The following is a 21,730-nucleotide window of genomic DNA, read 5'->3' as shown; positions in this document are numbered from 1 at the left end:
ACTAAAGCTTACCAAGCTTCTCAATTTAAGGCTGCCCTAAGTATTTTCTCCTTATCAAGTTACCAAGAAACTCATCAAAGTCAGCCTCCACGTTTCCTCAACTAAGTCTTTCTTTCTTCATATTTTCCACTGTGTCTAGACAATTCAACTGAAACTGTCTTGGTATTAAACCATGATTAGAATATGAAGGCTTATGTGGTTCATGTGTGTTGGGGCTAATTTGTCCGTACCTACTGAAGATTTATACCTGGGAGAATCACAGCGAGGTTACCATGAAGTTACATGGAGGGAGATGATTTTTATATGAGTGACAAGTAGCACATTCAGGGTGAGCACAGGGGCTGTGGAATCCACAGGGAAGAGAGTGCCAACCTCAGTCTTGGTGAGTGAGGGCAGGCTGCACAGGAAGAAGTAACATCAAAGCTGAAACCTAAAGGATGCCCAGAAGTGACCCAATAAGTGGGGAGAGAATGAAAGGAAGAGCATCCAGAAATAGGGAATTTTAAGAATAGTCTTTCCAGAGGTGAGGAGGTAAAAAAACCCAGGTTGAGTTCCTGGAATGGAAAGTTTGGTATGGCCAGTCCTAGAGTACAATATCTCTTGAGGAAACAAGTCTGGAGAGGTTGGTGGTGGAAAACTTGGAGACCTATAAAGGAGTTGGACTTTCTTGAGGACCGTGGGAAGACACTGAAGTGTTGGAAAGCAGGAGAAAAGCGTGACCCAGAGGAGATCATGATTGGATTTCTATTCTTCAAAGATCACACTGGCCACAGAGTCGAATGCGGATTGAGGGGTTGCAGGGAGGGGGCAAGGCTGGAGGCAGAAACATCAAGTTGGAGACTAATTTAGTAATTCAGGGAAGAGAGGATGCTGTCCAGAAGTAAGGTAGAAGAGTCTGCAGATTTAAGAGAAATTTATAAAGGCCCAATGGACAGTACATGGTAAATGATTAGATGTAGGTTATTAAGAGTAGAAAGGAGTCCAGGATTCCACTGAGGTTTGTGGCTTGGTGGAAGCACTCACAATATAGGTAGGATGTACAAGTTTGGGTTTGAGGAAGTGGAAAGAAGTTGAATTCTGTTTTGAATCCGTTGAGTCTGAGATTCTTGTGGATCAACCTTGGTAAGGTGGTTGAATCTTAGGTGTCTGTAGACCATTGGAGGAGAGATGTGGAGTATGATTTAGAAACATGTTTTTGGAATGTAGGAGAGATTGGGCTAGAGAGATAATTGAGTGTCATCAGAACTAGATGGTAACTGAAGCCGTGGGAATGAATGAGATTTCCCAGGTAGAGGCAGAAAGGAAGAAAAAAAGATTGTGGTCTGAAGTGATGTGACAGCTCAGCCTTTAAGGGAAGTGAATATATTTCAGTGTGCTGAATCTGAAGCATTTAACTAGCATCCTGGCTCATCTCTTTTATAAAATTAAATGACCTTAAATGACTTTCTTTAGCTTTTCTGGGCTTCAATTTACATGGGTTCTAAGATTATGCTAAAAATATCTATCTATCTGTCCTTTAGCTATGGGAGGATGTGAACTCGGATGGTGAAATGTCTACGAAAGCATTTTGCAAAACTGACAAGTGCTTTTAGAGATGGCAAATGTTATTTTGTTGTAAGAAGAATGTCTATGTTATATCACTTGTCATAAAAATATGAAATTTAACAAAAACTTACTTACTCCCAGAAGTAAAGGATACTCACACGTCATCGGGTTTTACATTCTTTTATTATGATTAGTGGTCGTGGCCAATGTAAATGAAAGAGACGAGATGGATATCTTAATATGTTTTTAAATCTACATGGTAAGTAAAAAAGCAAGAAAGCTTTTTTTTCCTTTTAGTAAGAGACTCACTGAAAATCTTTTTGATTTTTTATAGGTATTATGAATCAAGACTATGAATTTATGTCCCGTAGAACTCCAAGAATGCAAACCACCGTAATGCCACTGGATCTGCAATGAGCATAGCTGCTAACAGGATTTCTTATGTGTTTAACCTAACTGGCCCCTCTTTTGCTATAGATTCTGCATGCTCATCATCTTTTGTTGCACTGTACTACGCCTTCCTTGCAATTAAACAAGGTATGCTGAAGTTAGGTAACCAAGACATGAGGCATGATTACCAAAAAATTGAACAATTTTTTTCTTTATTTCTTCTTAAAAAAATTGGGATACATGTGCAGAACGTGCAAGTTTGTTACATAGGTATACGTGTGCCATGGTGGTTTGCTGCACCTATTGACCCATCCTCTAAGTTCCCTCCCCTCACCCCCTACCTGTCAACAGGCCCTGGTGTGTGTTGTTTCCCTCCCTGTATCCATGTGTTCTCAATGTTCAACTCCCACTTATAAGTGAGAACATGCAGTGTTTGGCTTTCTGTTCCTGTGTTAGTTTGCTGAAAATAATGGCTTCCCGCTTCATCCATGTCCCTGCAAAGGACATGATCTCATTCCTTTTTATGGCTGCATAGTATTCCATGGTGTATATGTACCACATTTTCTTTATCCTTTGTAGCATTGAGGGCATTTGGGTTGGTTCCATGTCTTTGCTATTGTAAATAGTGCTGCAGTAAACATACGTGTGCATGTGTCTTTATAGTAGAATGACTTATAGCCCTTTGGATATATACCCAGAAAGGGGATTGCTGGGTCAAATGGTATTTCTGGTTCTATGTCCTTGAGGAATCGCCATACTGTTTTCCACAATGGTTGAACTAATTTACATTCCCACCAACAGTGTAAAAGTTTTCCTGTTTCTCCACAGCCTCACCAGCATCTATTGTTTCCTGACTTTTAATAATCACCATTCTGACTGGCATGAGATGGTATCTCATTGTGATTTGGATTTGGATTTCTCTGATGGTCAGTGATGTTGAGTTTTTTTTTCATATGTTTCTTGGCTGCATAAATATCTTCTTTTAAGAATTGTCTGTTCATATCCTTTGCCCACTTTTTGATGAGGTTGTTTGTCTTTTCCTTGTAAATATGTTTAAGTTCCTTGTAAATTCTGGATATTAGACCTTTGTCAGATGGGTAGATTACAAAAATTTTCTCCCATTCTGTAGGTTGCCTGTTCACTTTGATGATAGTTTCTTTTGCTGTGCAGAAGCTCTTTAGTTTAATTAGGTCCCATTTGTCAATTTTGGCTTTTGTTGCCATTGCTTTGGGCATTTTTGTCATGAATTTTTGCCCATGCCTATGTCCTGAATGGTATTGCCTAGGTTTTCTTCTAGGGTTTCCATGGTTTTGGGTTTTACATTTAAGTCTTTAATCCATCTTGAGTTAATTTTTGTATAAGGTGTAAGGAAGGGGTCCAGTTTCTGTTTTCTGCATATGGCTAGCCAGTTTTCCCAGCACCATTTATTAAATATGGAATCCTTTCCCCATTTCTTGTTTTTGTCAGGTTTGTCAAAGATCAGATAGTTGTAGATATATGGCATTATTTCTGAGGGCTCTGTTCTGTTCCATTGGTCTATATCTCTGTTTTGGTACCAGTACCATGCTGTTTTGGTTACTGTAGGCTTGTAGTATAGTTTGAAGTCAGGTAGCGTGATGCCTCCAGCTTTGTTCTTTTGGCTTAGGATTGACTTGGCAATGAGGGCTCTTTTTTGGTTCCATATGAACTTTAAATTAGTTTTTTTCCAATTCTGTGAAGAAAGTCATTGGTAGCTTGATGGGGATGGCATTGAATCTATAAATTACCTTGTCCCTGACCCAAGCTTTTCAATTGGCAAAAGACAAGGCTGTTGAAAGTATTGCACTGACAGCTGCTCTGCTGGGATTACAGGTGTGAGCCACCACGCCTGGCCCTTTTGCAAGATTCTTTAAACTAAATGAAGAAAGCTCACTATCAAAGTTTATCTCAGATTTGTATATTTGAGCTAGAGATATTAATAATATTAGAGATCTCTGGTTTAACCCATCTGTGTTATGGTGCCAAGAAATGAGTCCAGTAAGATTAAATGACTTGATTAATATCCATCCTTAAATGTCACCCCTAAATGGTGACAGAGCTAAGACCAGACTCCAAATCTCTAAATTCTCAGTTCTGTTATTTTTCCAGTCCTGTATCTCTACACTATACAACCTCAGGGGACCCCATTCACATTATATTCCATGAGAAGGGGACCCTTAGTGTTTACCTCCCAAGAGAGGTAATCTCTGATGAGATGGGAAGCCACTGTGTATATGAATCAAACACTATTTCTTCTCACTGGGTTTGCTATTTGTTGCTTGGTTGCAGGAGACTGTGAAACAGCTCTCTGTGGTGGAGTGAGCTGCATGTTAGACCCTTCGTTTAATGTCATGTTGAGCAAAGCCAAAATGATATCTCCAGATGGGATGAGTAAACTTTTCTCTAAAAGGGTAGGTGGCTATGGATGTGGAGAAGGGTGTGGTGTTGTCCTGCTGAAACCTCTAAGGAAGGTCAGTCAACTTAAAAATCAGTCTGGAGTGGTTCTCTGATCAGCTACAGGCAGCTTTCTGTACCCATGGCTTCTTCATCCATGGATTCAACTAACCTTAATGGAAAATATTTTTTACACAATACAACAGGCCAGGCATGGTGCCTCATGCCTGTAATCCCAGCCCTTTGGGAGGTTGAGGCAGGTGGACCATTTGATGTTAGGAGTTTGAGACCAGCCTGGCCAATATGATGAAACCTGTCTGTACTAAAATACAAAAATTAGCCAGTGTGGTGGTGCGCCTGTAATCCCAGCTACACTTGGGAGGCTGAGGCAAGAGAATCTCTTGAGCCTGCAAGACAGAGGTTGCAGTAAGCCGAGAACGCATCACTGCACTCCAGCCTGGGTGTCTCAAAAAGATCCTGTCTCAAAAAAAAAAAAAAAAAAAAAAAAAACCAACCAACCATCCAAACAAACAAACAAAAACCAATAAAAATAACACAAACAAAACCAATAGAGTTTAACAACTGTTAAACTACAAGGTAACTACAATGTAAATACATTGTATTAGGTATTATAAGTAATATAGAGATGATTGAAAGTATTTGAAAGGGTGTGTGTAGGTTATATGCAAACACTATGCCCTGTTATATTAGGGACTTGAACTGAGACCGCTATACCCTGTTATATCAGGGACCGCGGATTTTGGTATCCTGGGATTCCTGGAACCAATCCCCTGTGGATCCTGGGGAATGAATGGACTGGTTGCAGGGCAGTGCACTAACTTAATCAAGATCCTGTACTTACTCTGCACAGCCTTGCTATTCAATGTGCTATCCAGGAATGGGCAGCATGGTAGCATCATCAGCTTCACTAGGTGTTCGTCAGAATACAGAGTCTCAGGTGCTCCCCCAGACACTGCATTTTACAAGACTGTGCCAGAGCAGATTCACATTTACAGTCTGGTAGGGGGAGCATTCAAGGAAATTTGTGGCTCTAGTACAGTGTGGCAAATTCAAGGTTAGACCTGGAGTGTTGCCTAGGTCAGTTTGCAGGAATTGAGTTTTTCAGGTTAAGTAAAATTTGGAGAAGCAATAGATTGTGGGTGATGTGAAAAGAATAAAGGCTTATTAGGAAATGGAACAACATGCACAAAGACAGGCATCCTGAGACAGAATGAGGCAAAGTGGGGAGGAGAGGTGGCCGTTGGAGTAAAGAACCATCTGGAAATGAGCTGATTATAATCATTATTCTGAACTCTGTCACCTTTTTCCTTTGTGATCTTGGACAAACAACTTAACCTTTCTATGCCTCAGTTTTGTGCTCAGTAAAATGGGGATGACAATAATAGTGTATACCGAGTAGGGTTGCAGCAAGAGTTAAATAAGTTAATACTGAAAGGTGCCTAGAAAAGTGCCCAGAATGTAGTAAGCATGATATATGAGCTGTTGTTGCTGTTATTATTGCTATTAAAGACCGAGTGCATGGAACACAGATGCAAACCTCCTCCCTAACTTCTCCCATATCTTCCTCATGTAAACTGCTCCAGCCAAGCGATTTATCTGTTGTTGTTGTTCCATACACAGCTTTTTTGTTTGTTTTGTTTTTTTAGAGACAGGATTTTGCTCTGTCACTCAGGCTGGAGTGCAGTGGCATGATCACAGCTCACTGCAACCTTGAACTCCTGGCCTCAAGCAATGCTCCTGCCTCAGCCTCCTAAGTACCTGGGACTATGGTTGTGTGCCACCATGCCTGGCTAATATTTATTTATTAATTGATTGATTTAAGACAGTTTCACTCCTGTCGCCCAGGCTAGAGTGCAATGGCGTGATCTCGGCTCACTGCAACCTCTGCCTCCCGGGTTCAAGTGATTCTCCTGCCTCAGCCTACCGAGTAGCTGGGATTACAGGCACCCGCCACCACGCCTGGCTAATTTTTGTATTTTTAGTAGAGACAGGGTTTCACCATGTTGGCCCCGCTGGTCTTGAACTCCTGACCTCAGGTGATCTGCCCGCCTCAGCCTCCCAACGTGCTGGAATTACAGGCGTGGGCTGTACCTGGCCGCGTGGCTAATTAAAAATTTTATTTTTTGTAGAGATGGGCATCTCACTATGTTGCCCAGACTGATCTCAAGCTCCTGGGCTCAAGAGATCCTCCCGTCTCAGCCTCCCAAAGAGCTGGGATTACAGGTATGAGCCACCACCCCTGGCCCAAACATGTCTTTTAATTCCAGGGTCTGAGCCTTTGACTGGGCCATCCCCTCTGTCTGGAAAGCCCTTGTCTATCCACCATATCACAAGTGCCCAAATCTTCTGTTGGGATCCAAGTTAGTCCTCAAAACTCTTCAATGAAGCCCTTCCCACTTTCCCCCTCAGAATGTGTTTTCCTTCCTCTAAAATCCCGTGGTTCTTGTTATACACATATATTTTGTTGTCACTTTAATATATATTGGCAATTCTTCACCAGCATGTATTTGAACATAGGCCTTCCAGTTCCAGAGACTGTGTGCTTAACTGCTGGGTCCTGCTGCACACCTAGAGATAACAATGGTTATGGAGTTGTTTCCACCTACCAGGTGCTGCTTGAAGCATTTTGCATGGAGTAACTAATTTAATCCCTAGACCCTCTGAGATAGGTATGTTAATAGTCCCCATTTTATTATTATTATTATTTTTATTGTAGAGACAAGGTTTCACTATATTGCCCAGGCTGTTCTTGAACTCCTGGGCTCAAGCAATCCTCCTGCTTTGGCATCCCAAAGTTTTGGGATTACAGCATGTGCCGCCACACCTGGCCAATACTCCCCAGTTTATACACGAAGAAGGTAAAACACAGAGCAATTAAGTAACTCACCCAGGATGGTCCCATTGAGCAAGTGGCTGAGCTGGGATTCAAGCCCAGCGAGTCCTGTCACATAGGATCCCACGCTTATATCTCACTTTGCTCTATGGAAGTCATGCTTACTTTTGGGAAAATTGCCTTTGATTCAAAGTTGGGGACAGAATTTTATTTTATTCTATTTTAAGTTTTTATTTTTATGCATAGAATAGTTGGGACAAATAAACCAAATTTTAAGTATTATATTTCTTTTTGATTGAAGATCTTGCATGTTGAAAGTCTTCTTAGGATTTTTTTTTTTTTTTTAGATGGATTCTCGCTTTGTTGCCAGGCTGGAGTGCAGTGGTATGATCTCGGCTCACTGCAACCTCCGCCTCCCAGGTTCAAGCGATTCTCCTGCCTCAGCCTCCTGAGTAGCTGGGATTACAGGCATGCACCACCACACCTAGCTAATTTTTGTATTTTTTGTAGAGACAGGGTTTCACCATGTTGGCCAGGATGGTGTGGATCTCCTGACCTTGTGATCTGCCCGTCTCAGCCTCCCAAAGGGCTGGGATTACAGGCATGAGCCACTGTGCCCAGCCAGAAATTTTATACTTAATTTAAAGCCCTAGCAAAGAGGATGAAAGTCATAGGATTGAGGCTACCCCCCACTGTTGTTCCTGTCTGCAGGAAGGGTAACTTCAGAATTCCTTTCCACATGGAATCAATCCCACAAGCCTTGTATTCACAGAATCTGCCAAGTGTTACTCAAGTGAATGTTATCTCTACATATTTGAGATTTCAAGTAAATATAGGATAGTATTTATAAGATGGAAAGAGAAAAATAGAAAACAGTTCTCTCCTTTAAAAGATTATCAAAAGAGTAATAAATTAGCATATTTCAGTTACCAACATGTTGTAATGAACAGCCGCAAGTCTAGTAGTTTAAAACAATGACTATTTCATCATATGTCAGGATTTAGTGAGCCAGAAATTTGGGCAGAGCCTGGCTGGGTGAGTCTTCTGTTCTGTGGTCATATGGACTGGGTGTCGGGTGGTGTTCAGCTGGCAGCTAGGCTGGTCTGGAGGAGCCAAGATGCTTCTTATGAGCCTGGTGCCTTCACAGAACACCTGGAAGGCTGCGCTCAGCTGGGGCCGTCTATTTTTCATGGAGTCTCAGAGCCTCTCCACGTGGCCCTTCGGCAGGGTAAGCTAATGCTTCGCTCAGGGCCCCAAGAAGCCAAGGCAAAAGCTGCCGGTTCTCTTAAAAGCTAGGCTCCCAGAGCTGGCACAGGGTCATTTCTGCCACCTTCTTTTGCTTCAGGCAATCACGGGCTAGCCTAGATTCAATGGAAGGGAAAATAGACACTACCCCCCCTTTTTTTTTTTGGAGACAAGGTCTTGCTCTGTCCCCCAGGCTAGAGTGCAATGGTGCTGTCGCCTCCAACTCATGGGCTCAAGTGATTCTCGTGTCTCAGCTTCTTGAGTAGCTGAAACCACAGGCGTGTGCTTCCACTTCCAGCTAACTCTTTTTTTTCATTTTGTAGAGACGAGGTCTCACTATGCTGCATAGGCTGACACCACCTCTTGATGGGAGAGGTGTCAAATAATTTGTGGTCATCTTTAATCAGCCATAAAACATATACGCATCAATTAAGTCTTTACTAAGTTATAAGTTAACTATTAAATTGGAAGCATAGGACTGCAGCTTCCTTTGTCCACAAACGTTTGTCAGGAGGAACCTCAACAGTGCATTCAAAGTCAGGCCCAGTGGCTCATGCCTGTAATCCTAGCACTTTGGGAAGCTGAGGAGGACAGATCTCTTGAGGTCAGGAGTTCGAGACTAGCCTGGCCAGCCTGGTGAAACCCCGTCTCTACTAAAAAAAAAAAAAAAAAGTGCATTCGAATTATGTGGTTACTACTGTTCCATAAAACGGAAGCTTTCCTAAACAAATAATTTATATTGCTTTCTCTCTTCATAGTTATAGCCCAATTAGCTTACTTTCTCTACCAGCTGATGTTCTACTTATCTACTTATGTAGAAAGTCAAATCACAAAGTTTTCTCATAATCAAGGACTTCTGATTCTGCCATTTCCCCATCCTAAGATGAGCTCTCCTGAATCTGGGTTCACATGGCTTTTCTTGTACAAATAATTCCTTTTGATATTGTCATTTTGTGAGTATATAACCTCCACTTTCACTACGTTCATTTCGCCTCTCCAAGTAGTTTCTTTTTCTTTCTTTCTTTTTTTTTTTTTTTGAGACACAATCTCACTCTGTCACCGAGGCTGGAGAGCAGTGGCGTGACCTCGGCTCACTGCAACCTCCGCCTCCAGGTTCAAGTGATTCTCATGCCTCAGCCTCCCAAGTAGCTGGGACTATAGGTGCCTGCCACCACACCTGGCTAATTTTTGTATTTTTAGTAGTTTCAACACTCCTCAAAAGAAGACATATGCAGCCAACAAACATGAAAAAGAGCTCAACATCACTGATCATTAGAGAAATGCAAATCAAAACCACAAAGAGATACCATCTCATGCCAATCAGAATGCCTATTACTAAACACTCAAAAAACAACAGATGCTGGAGAAAAAGGAACACTTTTACACTGCTGGTGAAAGTGTCAATACTTCAACTATTGTGGAAGGCAGTGTGGTGATTCCTCAAAGAACCAGAGGTAGAAATACCTTTTGATCCAGCAATCCCATTACTGGGTATATACCCAGAAGGATATAAATCATTCTGTTGTAAAGAGACATAGACGTGTATGTTCATTGCAGCACTGTTTACAATAGAGAGTCATGGAATCAACTGAAATACCCATCAATGATAGACTGAATAAAGAAAATGTGGTATACACACCATGCAATACTGTGCAGCCATAAAAAGGAATAAGATCATGTCCTTTGCAGGGACATGGATGGAGTTGGAAGCCATTATCTTCAGCAAACTAACACAGGAACAGAAAACCAAAGACCGCACCTTCTCAGTTATAAGATGGAGCTAGTCTGAGAACATATGGACATGCCAGGGGGAACACATGGGCACACTGGGGGGAACAACACACACTGGGCACCTGTAGGGGGTTAAGGGGAGGGAGAGCATCAGCAAGAATAGCTAATGGATGTTGGGCTTAATAACTGGGTGATCGGGGCTGAACACGGTGGCTCATGCCTGTAACCCTAGCAGTTTGGGAGGCCAAGGCAGGCAGATCACTTGAGGTCAGGAGTTCGAAACCAGGCTAGCCAACATGGTGAAACCCAGTCTCTACTAAAAATACAAAAAGAATTAGCTGGGTATGCTGGCACGCACCTATAATCCCACCTACTTGAGAGGCTGAGACAGGAGAATCACTTGAACCCAGGAGGCAGAGTTTGCAGTGAGCTGAGATGGTGCCACTGGACTCCAGCCTTGGCGACAGAGCAACACTCTGTCTCAAAAATAAATATATATATATATATATAAAACTGGGTGATGGGATGATCTGTGCAGTAAACCACCATGGCACACATTTACCTATGTAGCAAACCTACACATCCTGCACCGGTACCCCTGAACTTAAAAGATGAAAAGAAAAAGAAATTGGTGTTCAAGTTTGTCACAGGTGACCCTTAAAAGTCCTCCTAATGGCTTGTATTACTTTGCCTCTTAGCCTACAGGACTTTGAAGAAGAAAGGAAATAACTAACCCAGCAAACCAGAACCTGATGTTACAATAATTGTAATAGTTAACATGTTAAGCACTTTTCATATATTTCCTAATCTAATCCTACACCAACCCTATGATACTTTACTATTTGTCTTAAAAATTGTTCCTGAGCAAACCAGCCTCAACCAAAAAGCCCCCAAACGACCAGAGAGTGTTAATCTTATCTAGCTTACAGGAAAGTCACAGAAATTTCAATGATTGGTCCAATGTTCCGTTTCTTTTTTTAATTAGTCAGATACCATACCCTGAACTTGTTTCAACATCTTGCTTTATTTCCAGAATGTGCCTTAATTGCTTCCTGATTTCTGCAGCCCATATAACACCTACAAGGAATCTTGATTTACTCCTACTGTAGTAGTTGTACAACTTTGTTCTATGGCTATCTTGATATAATTATAATCTATTCGTCTTTCTTTTTGTCTGTTTTATTCATTTATTTTTTGAGACAGGGTCTCACTCTGTCACCCAGGCTGTAGTGTGGTGGCCCAACTTTGGCTCACTGCAACCTCTGCCTCCGAGGTTCAAGAGATCCTCCTGCTTTAGCCACCCAAATGGCTGGGACCACAGGCACACATCACTATGCCTGGCTAATTTTTGTACAGCCATGTTGCCCAGGCTGGTCTTGAACTCCTAGTCTCAAGCTATCTGCCTGCCTCTGCCTCACAAAATGCTGGGATTATAGGCGTGAGCCACCGCACCTGGCTTATTTGTCCTTTTATACTGACATGTTGTACTGCTTCATTTTGCCAAAATCTCTTGCCAAAAGTGCACTGAATGAGTTCTCTAGCAATAACCCACAGAAATTTTCTGTTTTTGCTGCTCCAGTATTCTCAATGTCATTCAAAGTATTAGGTTCTAGCTTTAGCACAGCAAGAAATCACATCAGCTAATCTATAAACATCTTCTGATGACATATTCCTTTAGACACACCTTGTTGAACTCCCAATGCACTATTTTAAAAACTAATGCAAAATAATTTCTTTAGTAGGACAGCATTTCCATCAAATAATTCTATTTGCATAAGGGAAATGGTACTGTTGCTACTCTTACCTGGTGGCCTCCATATCGGTGAGCCAGTGGAATGGATCTTGGTAAAGGGACCTTGATAAATCAAGGTCCAAAATATCTTCTAGAACTTCCTGAGGCAGGAAAAACAAATTTACAAACCTAAGTCTTCTTTCAGTACTTTTTTTTTTTTGAGACACAAGCTCACTCAGTCACCCAGGCTGGAGTGCAGAGGCACAATCATGGCTCACTGCAGCCTTAACCTTCTGGGCTCAAGTGATCCTCCTACTTTGGCCTCCCAAAGTGCTACGATTACAGAAGTGAGCTACTGTGCCTGGCCTAATAATTTTTAAAAATAGAGACTTAATGGAAGAAAATTCAAAGAATAAACCTCTTCTGAAAATATATTATTAATATTTTTTCATAAGAGATGTACCATACTTTCTATGTTTATGCTATTTGGGAAAAATTAGTTCTTATTAGATGGTTCAGAAATTTTTATGGCTTTCTTATGACATATGGTAAAACAATGTTTTTCCTAGCACAAATTCATTTAAGGAAATAGAAAAAAGTAAATATCCTATTTTTAGCCCAAATTCATTTATATCATGAGAGAACAATTTAGAATTTATTGTTCTAAACCATTAGATAAAGGATATGTAAGATAACAATTTAACTCATTTTCTTCTTTTTCACAAAAGCATATTTTCCTTGTAAGACCACTTTAAGATGAAACTGAGTAAGTATCAAAGTGTGATTTCTAAGAATGACATCTCTAAATATTTGAATTTTAAACACAGATAGTCATTTATAATTAGACTAATAATATTAACTTTAAAAAATTATTTTAAACAAATATTTTAGTGAGTTAAGTATTTGTGTTATGAAAAAATATTGCCTAACCTTTGAAACTGCTACAAGACGTACTCTTGATTTGAAAGGAGTTGGGAAGGAGATTGAAAAAAATACAGTTTCCACTTTATGAACATAATTTTCTTCCACAGGATCAACAGGAACCACAGCTGATAAAATAAAACAGCCTTCTTAATGTTCTCACTTGTTGCATACACAGGACTAATATCCCTTAGAAAGTGTATGGTTCTTCAAGAAACTCAAGTCACTATTTTCTTTATGCTTTGTTATTTAAAGGCTACTTTGCCATTTCAACACGATCTAGCCAACATTCATTTAGGACAGTACATGGAACTGTTCAAGAGGCTAGGAAATGGAAAAAGTTTAATACAGGAAGACACATACCCTGTCTTCAAAGATCTTCTCACTCATGGAAGGCAAATTGGATTGGAACATATTTATACACATATATATATATACACACACATATATACACATATATGTACATATATACATACACACATATATATATATTTTTTTTTTTGAGATGGAGTTTCTCTCTTGTTGCACAGGCTAGAGTGCAATGGTGCGATCTCGGCTCACTGCAACCTCCGCCTCCTAGGTTCAAGCCATTATCCTGCCTCAGCCTCCCAAGTAGCTGGGATTACAGGCATGTGCCACCACGACCGGCTAATTTTGTACTTTTAGTAGAGATGGGGTTTCACCATGTTGGTCAGGCTGGTCTCAAACTCCTGACCTCAGGTGATCTGCTCACCTCGGCCTCCCAAAGTGCTGGGATTATGGGCATGAGCTACTGCGCCCAACCCCAAAATATATATTTTTAAATGGAGGTGAGCTGCATTATAGAATTACAAGTATAGTACTAGTTAATTCAATGGAACCAAAATCCATCAGGCACACAATCACATGCATTCTGCCCTTTGGAAACACAATTAGCTAAAGGAAACAGATGGACAAGAGACATAAATAACTTTAAGACCAGGCAATACATGGCTTACTAGATGCACAAAACTGCTATAGATCCCGCATTTGATAGCTGCCCGCCCACAAAGCTAAAAGTTTAGAAATTGCCTCTGCAGAGACAAACTATGTTTCATAAAGTCCATACACTAAAACACATGTACCATATTTTAAAAGCTGTAGAGGAAAAGAAAGCTTTGAACATGCTTTAGATTCTCAGAACATATCTACTCTTATTTTATAAACAATACCTAAACTCGTAATCTGTTTTTCCAATCCAAAGCAATTAAAACAAAAACAAATAGAAGAGAGTAGGTGTATTAATACAACTATAAGACTAAGGGACAAGAAAACCTGTTTCTGGATACAGATTTATTGTCAAAGTGTATCACCAAATTATTTAATAAACATAATAGAAATCCAATTAATACGCTAGCAGGATTTTTTTTTTAAGAAATAGACAATCTTAGTGTACAAATCTGAAAAAATAAACAGGTAAGTTTTTTTAAGCAAGAGAAACAAGTTTGCTTATGTTAAAAGAATACAATAACTAAAAATATTACTGTCTTAAAAATAGATGCAAAGATCAATGGATCTCAATAAAAAGCACAGAAACAACCCAAAGCTATAAAAGAATTTCCTGTATAGTGAAAATGACATTTCAAATCACTGGAGAAAGGTAGCATTAGGACAATTTGCTCCCTGTCTGGAGTAATGCCAATTTATTCCACCCAGGCTTAAGTGAATTAAATATCAGTTACAACAGCAATTTTCTAACTTCCTGAAATGAATAATAAAAATTGGCTAATATGGGCCACATTTCACCCTTTATATGTCCACTTAAGACCATGATGTATTACAAGGTAGCATCCTGGGGGAATAACTGTGTAGTCAATCAAAAAGTGGCAGATTTTAACATTCACGCCAGAAAACCAGACAATATAAGTGAAAGAACCAACAGTGTATTTTCTTGTTTTGTAGGAGAGCCTCTGTGTGGAATTAACTAGATTATATGATTGACTCAATCTCCCTTATGATGCTCTCACATTGGTAGGGCAGGAGCAGCATATCACGTTCCATTAGTAGTTATAATTTTGTACTGCTTGATGCACGTCCCAGCAAGATAGCTGCTGGGCAATACATGTGATCACCAGCCATGGAACAAAAAAGGCTATTTCAGGCATATTAAACCCTCACCCATGTGATGCTTTAACAAGCTAATAAGTCATAGACTAAAAACCCCAGAGAAAATTCCAAAAGCATACTAACCCCTTCTCTTAAGATCTCAGGAAAATCAGTACTGGCAAAATTAAATTCTTTAGAATTCAGTGTTGCATAAGACTATGAAATTCACAAAAACTAACAACAAAAATAAAGATTAGTGAAACTAACCTTTCACTGCAAATGTTTGAACCTTTTCTCCCAATAAATGTGCTTACCAGAGTAAGATAATTTGGATAATTCATTGATCATTTATCTAGTAACATCAGGATGAGATGTTTCACACAGTACTGTAAACCAAGACACAGTAATACATAGGATTATTTATTTATTTATTTGGAGACAGTGTCCCACTCTTTCATCCACACTGGAGAGCAGTGGCACGATCGCAACTCACTGCAGCCTCGAACTCTCGAACTTCTGGGCTCAAGCAAACATCCCTGCCTCAGCCTCCTGAGTAGCTAGGGTTACAGGCACACACCACCACGCCTGGCTAATTTTATTTTTTGTAGAGACAGGGTCTTGCTTATGTTGCCTAGGCTGGTCTCGATATCCCGGCCTCAAATGAACCTCCCACCTCAGCCTCCCAAATTGCTGGGATTACAGGCATGACCCACTCTGTCTGGCCTGGTATTATATTTACAATCTCTTTGGCTATAAAACCTGGTCTTATTGTAGATATTATGTTTTAAACAGTATAATCAATATTATGTTTTAAACGGTATAATCAATATTGGAAGAAAATGTCTTCGAGGGTAGCTAACACTCTGACATCAATACAACAGCCTTGGTCACTTTCAGTTACACATAGGCCATTTTGATCCATCTGTATTGGCTCTTTTCGTTTGTCTAAGGGCAGCAAAATAGACCAAAGATGTCTTCAGACTGCACAAGAGAAGTCTGTTCTTTAGCAGTTACCAGCATAACTCAGATAATGTTTTTAACTTCCTCAACTCATGCTTGGCCTAGTTGGGTCAAAAGAACTACTTGTGAATGCCGTATGTCCAATTGGTAGGTTACTGTTTTTTCTCAAGAGTTTAGCTATACAGTAATGTTGGAAGTCTTGAGGAACTTCATCTGCTGTCCCTACTTAGCCTTGCAATACTACAGCATCTTTGTTTTATTTTATTATTATTTTTTAAGAGAGAGTCTCGCTTTGTCGCCTATGCTGGTGTGCAGTGGCGCAAGCTTGGCTATTGTTCAATCAGTATCAGTTTTATTGGAAAATCTCATAGAAGAAAAAAACAAATAATTATTTCAATAAATGTCAAAAAGGCTCTTGATGAAATTCAACATCAAGGTGCCCAAAACCTTGATAAAAGGTGCCCAAAACCTACAGCAAAGGGCATATTTAACAATAAAGCATGAACAGAAATGTCATTTGCATTCATAAAACCCAGGATTTGTTTTAATCAGTAATGGCAAGACACACAAACACAGAAATGACTGTCATGAGGGAAGTAGTTTATTTTTCTACTCACAGTTCCCTAGAAGCTGTGGGCACAGCACACCACAAGCAGAAGGACAGGGAAACATCAAGGTCAGTCAGGAGGCAGCGTCAATGGGGGAAAACGTGGGAAAGAGGCTTTATTGCAGTTCCATGGGACGGGACAAGCAAGTCAGGTCAATCAGGCTTAGCATTGGCTAGTTTGAATAATTTCATTGGCTCCTGGAAAGAAGAGGCTGCTATCTGGCCCTGAAGAAATTAGGGAAGTAGAATAGTGGCCAGAATTGTGAGAGTGATAAGGAACATTAAGACTGCAAAAGAGATAAACAGAGATAAAGAAGAATAAAGAGTGATGAAGAGATGAGAAAGAAGGGGGTATAAACTCTGGGTTGGTTGGGTTATAGTAGGAAAGTCATGCATGCAGGCAAGTTGTTTATTACATCCAGCAATTAGCTTATCCTGAGAGGGGCAGTCCCTCCAGGGTCAACAAGGCCCAAATGTCAAAGCATCAAATTTAGAAAATAAGAGATATGACTAATACACCGTTAAAGTCAGTATTATAATTAATATTATTCAACATTATCCAACATTATCCTGGAGTCTCTAGCCAATGCATACAACAGCAAAACCACTAAGATAAACAAATATATGAATGGAAAAGACAGACTTTTAAATTCTCAGGCGATGTATCTACTTAAAATTTTAAAACAAAGTCAAACAATCCATTAAAAGCTATTAAGTATAGAAACTAAAAACTGTCCTGTGTACTATATATCAGTGAAGCTCATTTATAAAATGTAGTATAAAAGGTGAGTCACAAGAGCAACAAGAACTAAAATATTTTTAGAATTGCTAGAAAATTTCAAATCTATATAAGGAAAATTGTAAATATTTATTGCAGGTATAAAAGAAAACATCAGGAAAAAAAGAGGCACAGATCATCACTGCTCCACCTAATTTCAATAACCATGATTTAATTAAATAACGTAAGTACCCCAACATGGTTCCAAATTCAGTTCAACTGTGAGTGATTACACAAAGTACAAACTTTGTGTGAGCTCTTCAGTCCACAAATCACAACATAAATAACAGAAGCAATCATGATCAGTGACCCATCATTTCTTTCAAAGTATGAGGTTGTCAATCACTGCATATTTGTTACTGAGTTTATACAGAGAGCAAAGCATGTCACTGTCTTGCCTCCTTGTCTCCCAGGGAGAAGCCCACATGACATTTTACAAAAATGAATAACCAAAGAGGGAAGTGGTCAACAAACATGAAACTGCAAAAAAAAAAAAAAAAAAGAAAAAGAAAAGAAAAGAAAAAAGAAAAGGGATAATACAAAGTGAAAATCAAATGGAACATAAATGTAGTTATAGAAGAAATAGTGGCCATTCACTGAGGCAGTTGTATTCTTGGTATTTCAATTATTTTTGACAAATAAATCAATTCTGAATCAGACTGAAGCTCTATATTTACAGAAATACAGGAGGCACAGACACGTGTTGTGTTAGGTTGCTTTTCTGTTGCTATAAAGAAATACCTGAGACTGGGTCATTTATAAAGAAAAAAGGTTTAACTGGCTCACAGGTCTGCAGGCTTTACTGGAAGCATGGTGCTGGCATCTGCTCAGCTTTTGGGGAGGCCTCAGGAGGCTTCCATTCATGGGAAAAGGCAAAGTGGGAGCAGGCTTCTCACATGGAGAGACTGGGAGCAAGAGAGCAAGCAGAGGAGGTGCCACACACTTTTAAACAACAGATCTCCTGAGAACTCACTCATTATCAGTGGGACAGCACCAAGTTATGAGGAATCTGTCCCCATGACCCAAACACCTCCCACAAGACCCCACCTCCAACATTGGGGATTACACCTCAACATGAGTATATTAGTACGTTTTCACACTGCTATAAAGAAACTACCTGAGACTGGATAATTTATAAAGGAAGGTTTAATTGACTCACAGTTATGCATGGCTCTGGAGGCCTCAGGAAACTTACAATCATCACAGAGGGTGAAGGAGAAGCAAAGCACATCTTACATGGCAGCAGGAGAGAGAGAGAGCAAAGAGGAAATGCCAGACAATTATTAAACTACCATATGTCATGAGAACTCTCTCACTATCACAAGAACAGCATGGGAAAACTGCTCCCATGATCCAATCACCTCCCCACAAGTCCCTGCATCCACACATGGGGGTCATAATTCAAGATGAGATCTGGGTGGGGACATAGAGCCAAACCATATCAATGAGATTTGGAGGGGACGTCCAAACTGTATCACAGGTTCAATAAATAATACCATAGAATGCAATCAGAAAAATGCAGAATGCTGAAATACCACAGGATAAATAATCTGGTTTTTTCAATCATAACTAAAGGAACCAATAGATTGTAAGTGAAAAAAGGTGTAGGTGACATAAGTAGGTGATAAACTCAAAGATATCAAAGGAAGCTTAAGACATATTATCATCTAATTTTAATGTATACTCCTTATTCAGATCCCAATTAAAATAACTATAAGAGGCTGGGCACGGTGGGTCACACCTGTAATCCCAGCACTTTGGGAGGTCGAGGAGGGTGGATCACGAGGTCAGGAGTTCAAGGCCAGCCTGGCCACGATGGTGAAAGCCCATCTCTACTAAAAATACAAAAATTAGCCAGGCGTGGTGGCAGGCACCTGTAATCCCAGCTACTTGGGAGGCTGAGGCAGAGAATTGCTTGAACCCAGAAGGTGGAAACTGCATTAAGCCGAAATCTCGCCACTGCACTCCAGCCTGGGCGACAGAGTGAGACACTGGTCAAAAATAAATAAATTAATAAATAAATTAATTAATATAACTATAAGATAATGATGATAATTATAAGAAAATAGGAAAATCTTGAAAACTGAATAATGTGATACATTAGGAGTTACTACTAATTTGTCTCAAGGTCATATGATGTCATGGACTGTTTGTATTTTAAGTCATTAATATTTAGAGATGCAAACACAAATATTTGTAGAGGAAATGAAACAATGTCTGTATTTTCCAAAAAAATGAGGACATGTATATCATACTTCAATTAAGGCAACAATGAGGAATATGGGGGAAGGGTGTGGAGGTGTAGGTGAAGCAAAATTGGCAAGGTATTAATCACTAGTAAGCTGATTAAATGGTAAATTAGGTTCATTAAACCATTAAAATTTTCTGTACCTTAGTAAATGTTTGAAAATTCTATAATAGAATAAAAAACTCTAGGAGCATAATAAAACTAAATACCCACTGATATGCCCCAAAGTGCTGAATTTACAGTAAATACTAGATCAGTATTTAATAATGCATTTTTTTTAGATGGCGTTTCACTCTTGTTGCCCAGGCTGGAGTGCAATGGTGAGATTTCGGCTCACTGCAACCTCCGCCTCCCGGGTTCAAGCGATTCTCCTGCCTCAGCCTCCCAAGTAGCTGGGATTACAGGCAACCACCACCACGCCCAGCTAATTTTTTTGGGGGGTCTTTTTAGTAGAGAAAGGGTTTCACCATGTTGGCCAGGCTAGTCTTGAACTTCTGACCTTAGGTGATCCACCCACCTCGTCCTCCCAAAGTGCTGGGATTACAGGCGTGAGCCAGCACACTTTTGATTACAACTGTCATAAGATCTTGTAACCATTGAGAATAACTCATGTGGTTTATCAAAAACACCTTATTATTCCATTAAACCTACTGAATAGAACAAAAATGATCATAAAGATATTTCAAAGAATATGTTCCAATTTAATTGGCTCAAAATATTCACGTATATAATCATTATTACCAAATGAGGGATTGGCATCAAAATGTGGATGATCAAAAATAATTTGTTAAACAGATTATTCTATGTTGTGTATAGTGATAGAATAATTCTTTAATTATTTTTCCCGAATGAAGTCTGAGATCTTTAGCCCAAGAAGGAGTAGGTGAGTCTTAGCCTGCTTTCTTGGCTATTGAATGCTTCTCGAAAGGATGCCGAAGAACTTGCTGGAGAAGATGTACCTGGTAAATAACGTGGGCAGATAAATGTTGATTATAATTACCCAGGACCCTGATGAATTTCTACATTTCTAAAAGGCAAGGTCAATTTTAAATGTTTAAAAATGTTTCTACTTTGGGAAGCAGAAGCAGGCAGATCACTGGAGGTCAGGAGTTGAAGACCAGCCTGGCAAACATTGTGAAACCTTGTCTGTATTAAAAACGCAAAAATTAGCTGGGCATGGAGGCGTCTGCCTGGACTCCCAGCTACTTGGGAATTTGATGCAGGAGAATGGCTTGAAACTGAATGTGGAGGACGCAGTGAGCCGAGATCACGACACTATACTCCAGCCTGGGCAACAAAGCTAGATTGTCTCATATCGAACAAACAGCAATAAAAGTTCATACATTTTGTTTTATGAAAAATCTCAACTCTACTTCTTACTTAGAATTGTTATTATTGCACAGAAGTTCCTTAAGTATTATTTTTATACTAAACTAAGAGAAGGAATATGTACACTGTCACGGAGAGTACACATATATCCCATCATTTTAAGATCCCTTTACTGCATTAAGAGAATTCTAATTTTCTAACATATTTAGCAAAAAAAAGAAGGTCAATGATTTGCAATCTTTCCAAATGAAGGGCATGAATTCCAGCTCATGCCGCTTCCTCACTGAGAATTTGGCTCTATGATAATAAACTGAGGCACCAACGACACACTTCTTTCAACAATAAATCAAAGATTGAAATGTTTGTTTTCCGTGGTTTTGCTATTTCTTGGGGATTATGAAGGAAATATTTAGTTAGAATAGAGAGGGTGGATGATAATACCATGAAATTAAAGGTGAGAGATCAAGTAGAACATTTTATTGTATCACTAGTATTTTAAATATAAAGATTGCATCTTCATGAATACGGGGCTTTTGAAGCCCATCTTAGTACTTATCCCCAGGTACGTTCAATACATATCTTTTTATTGAAGTTGCTTGTATGCCTATCAGTCTCACCTACTAGTTAAATGGCTCCTCTAATTGATTCTTACATTTTTCTACCGCGTCTTGCCTTGAGTCGATTCTAAAGATATGTTTGATGAAAGAAGGTAAATACCAGTCACATGTGAACAGGGCTGCATCTAGAAAGCTGCTCTATCAACGAAATCATTTTAAAAAATGAGGTACTTAGTGTAAAAGTTTTAGGAAATTTCCCTATTATACTTACTAGTTTGAATATGTGTGCTATTTTCAAAAACATAAATTGAATATATAATTATTGAGTGCATGTGTGTGTGTGCATATACATATACA

At 39.5% G+C, this 21,730-nt stretch overlaps 1 protein-coding gene across 3 annotated transcripts in view; it reads left to right on the top strand.

Moving 5' to 3' along the window:
• ANKRD26 (ankyrin repeat domain containing 26) overlaps positions 1-21,179 on the top strand; it is a 152,913-nt gene extending 131,734 nt beyond the window's left edge. The window contains exons 39-41 of one of the 3 annotated variants that reach the window (XM_047424821.1): positions 1,880-2,082; positions 17,339-17,423; positions 20,342-21,179. The gene's annotated coding sequence lies outside the window, so the exon portion shown is untranslated. Of the gene's footprint in view, positions 1-1,879; positions 2,083-12,637 lie in introns of all 3 variants that reach the window. The other 2 variants (XM_017015929.2, XM_017015928.2) reach the window with 2 other exon arrangements.
• Positions 21,180-21,730: the final 551 nt, after the last annotated feature.

The sequence above is a fragment of the Homo sapiens genome, chromosome 10 (genome assembly GCF_000001405.40).
Source record: "Homo sapiens chromosome 10, GRCh38.p14 Primary Assembly".
Taxonomy (NCBI): domain Eukaryota; kingdom Metazoa; phylum Chordata; class Mammalia; order Primates; family Hominidae; genus Homo; species Homo sapiens.
This window is presented reverse-complemented; position numbering and strand designations above follow the sequence as displayed.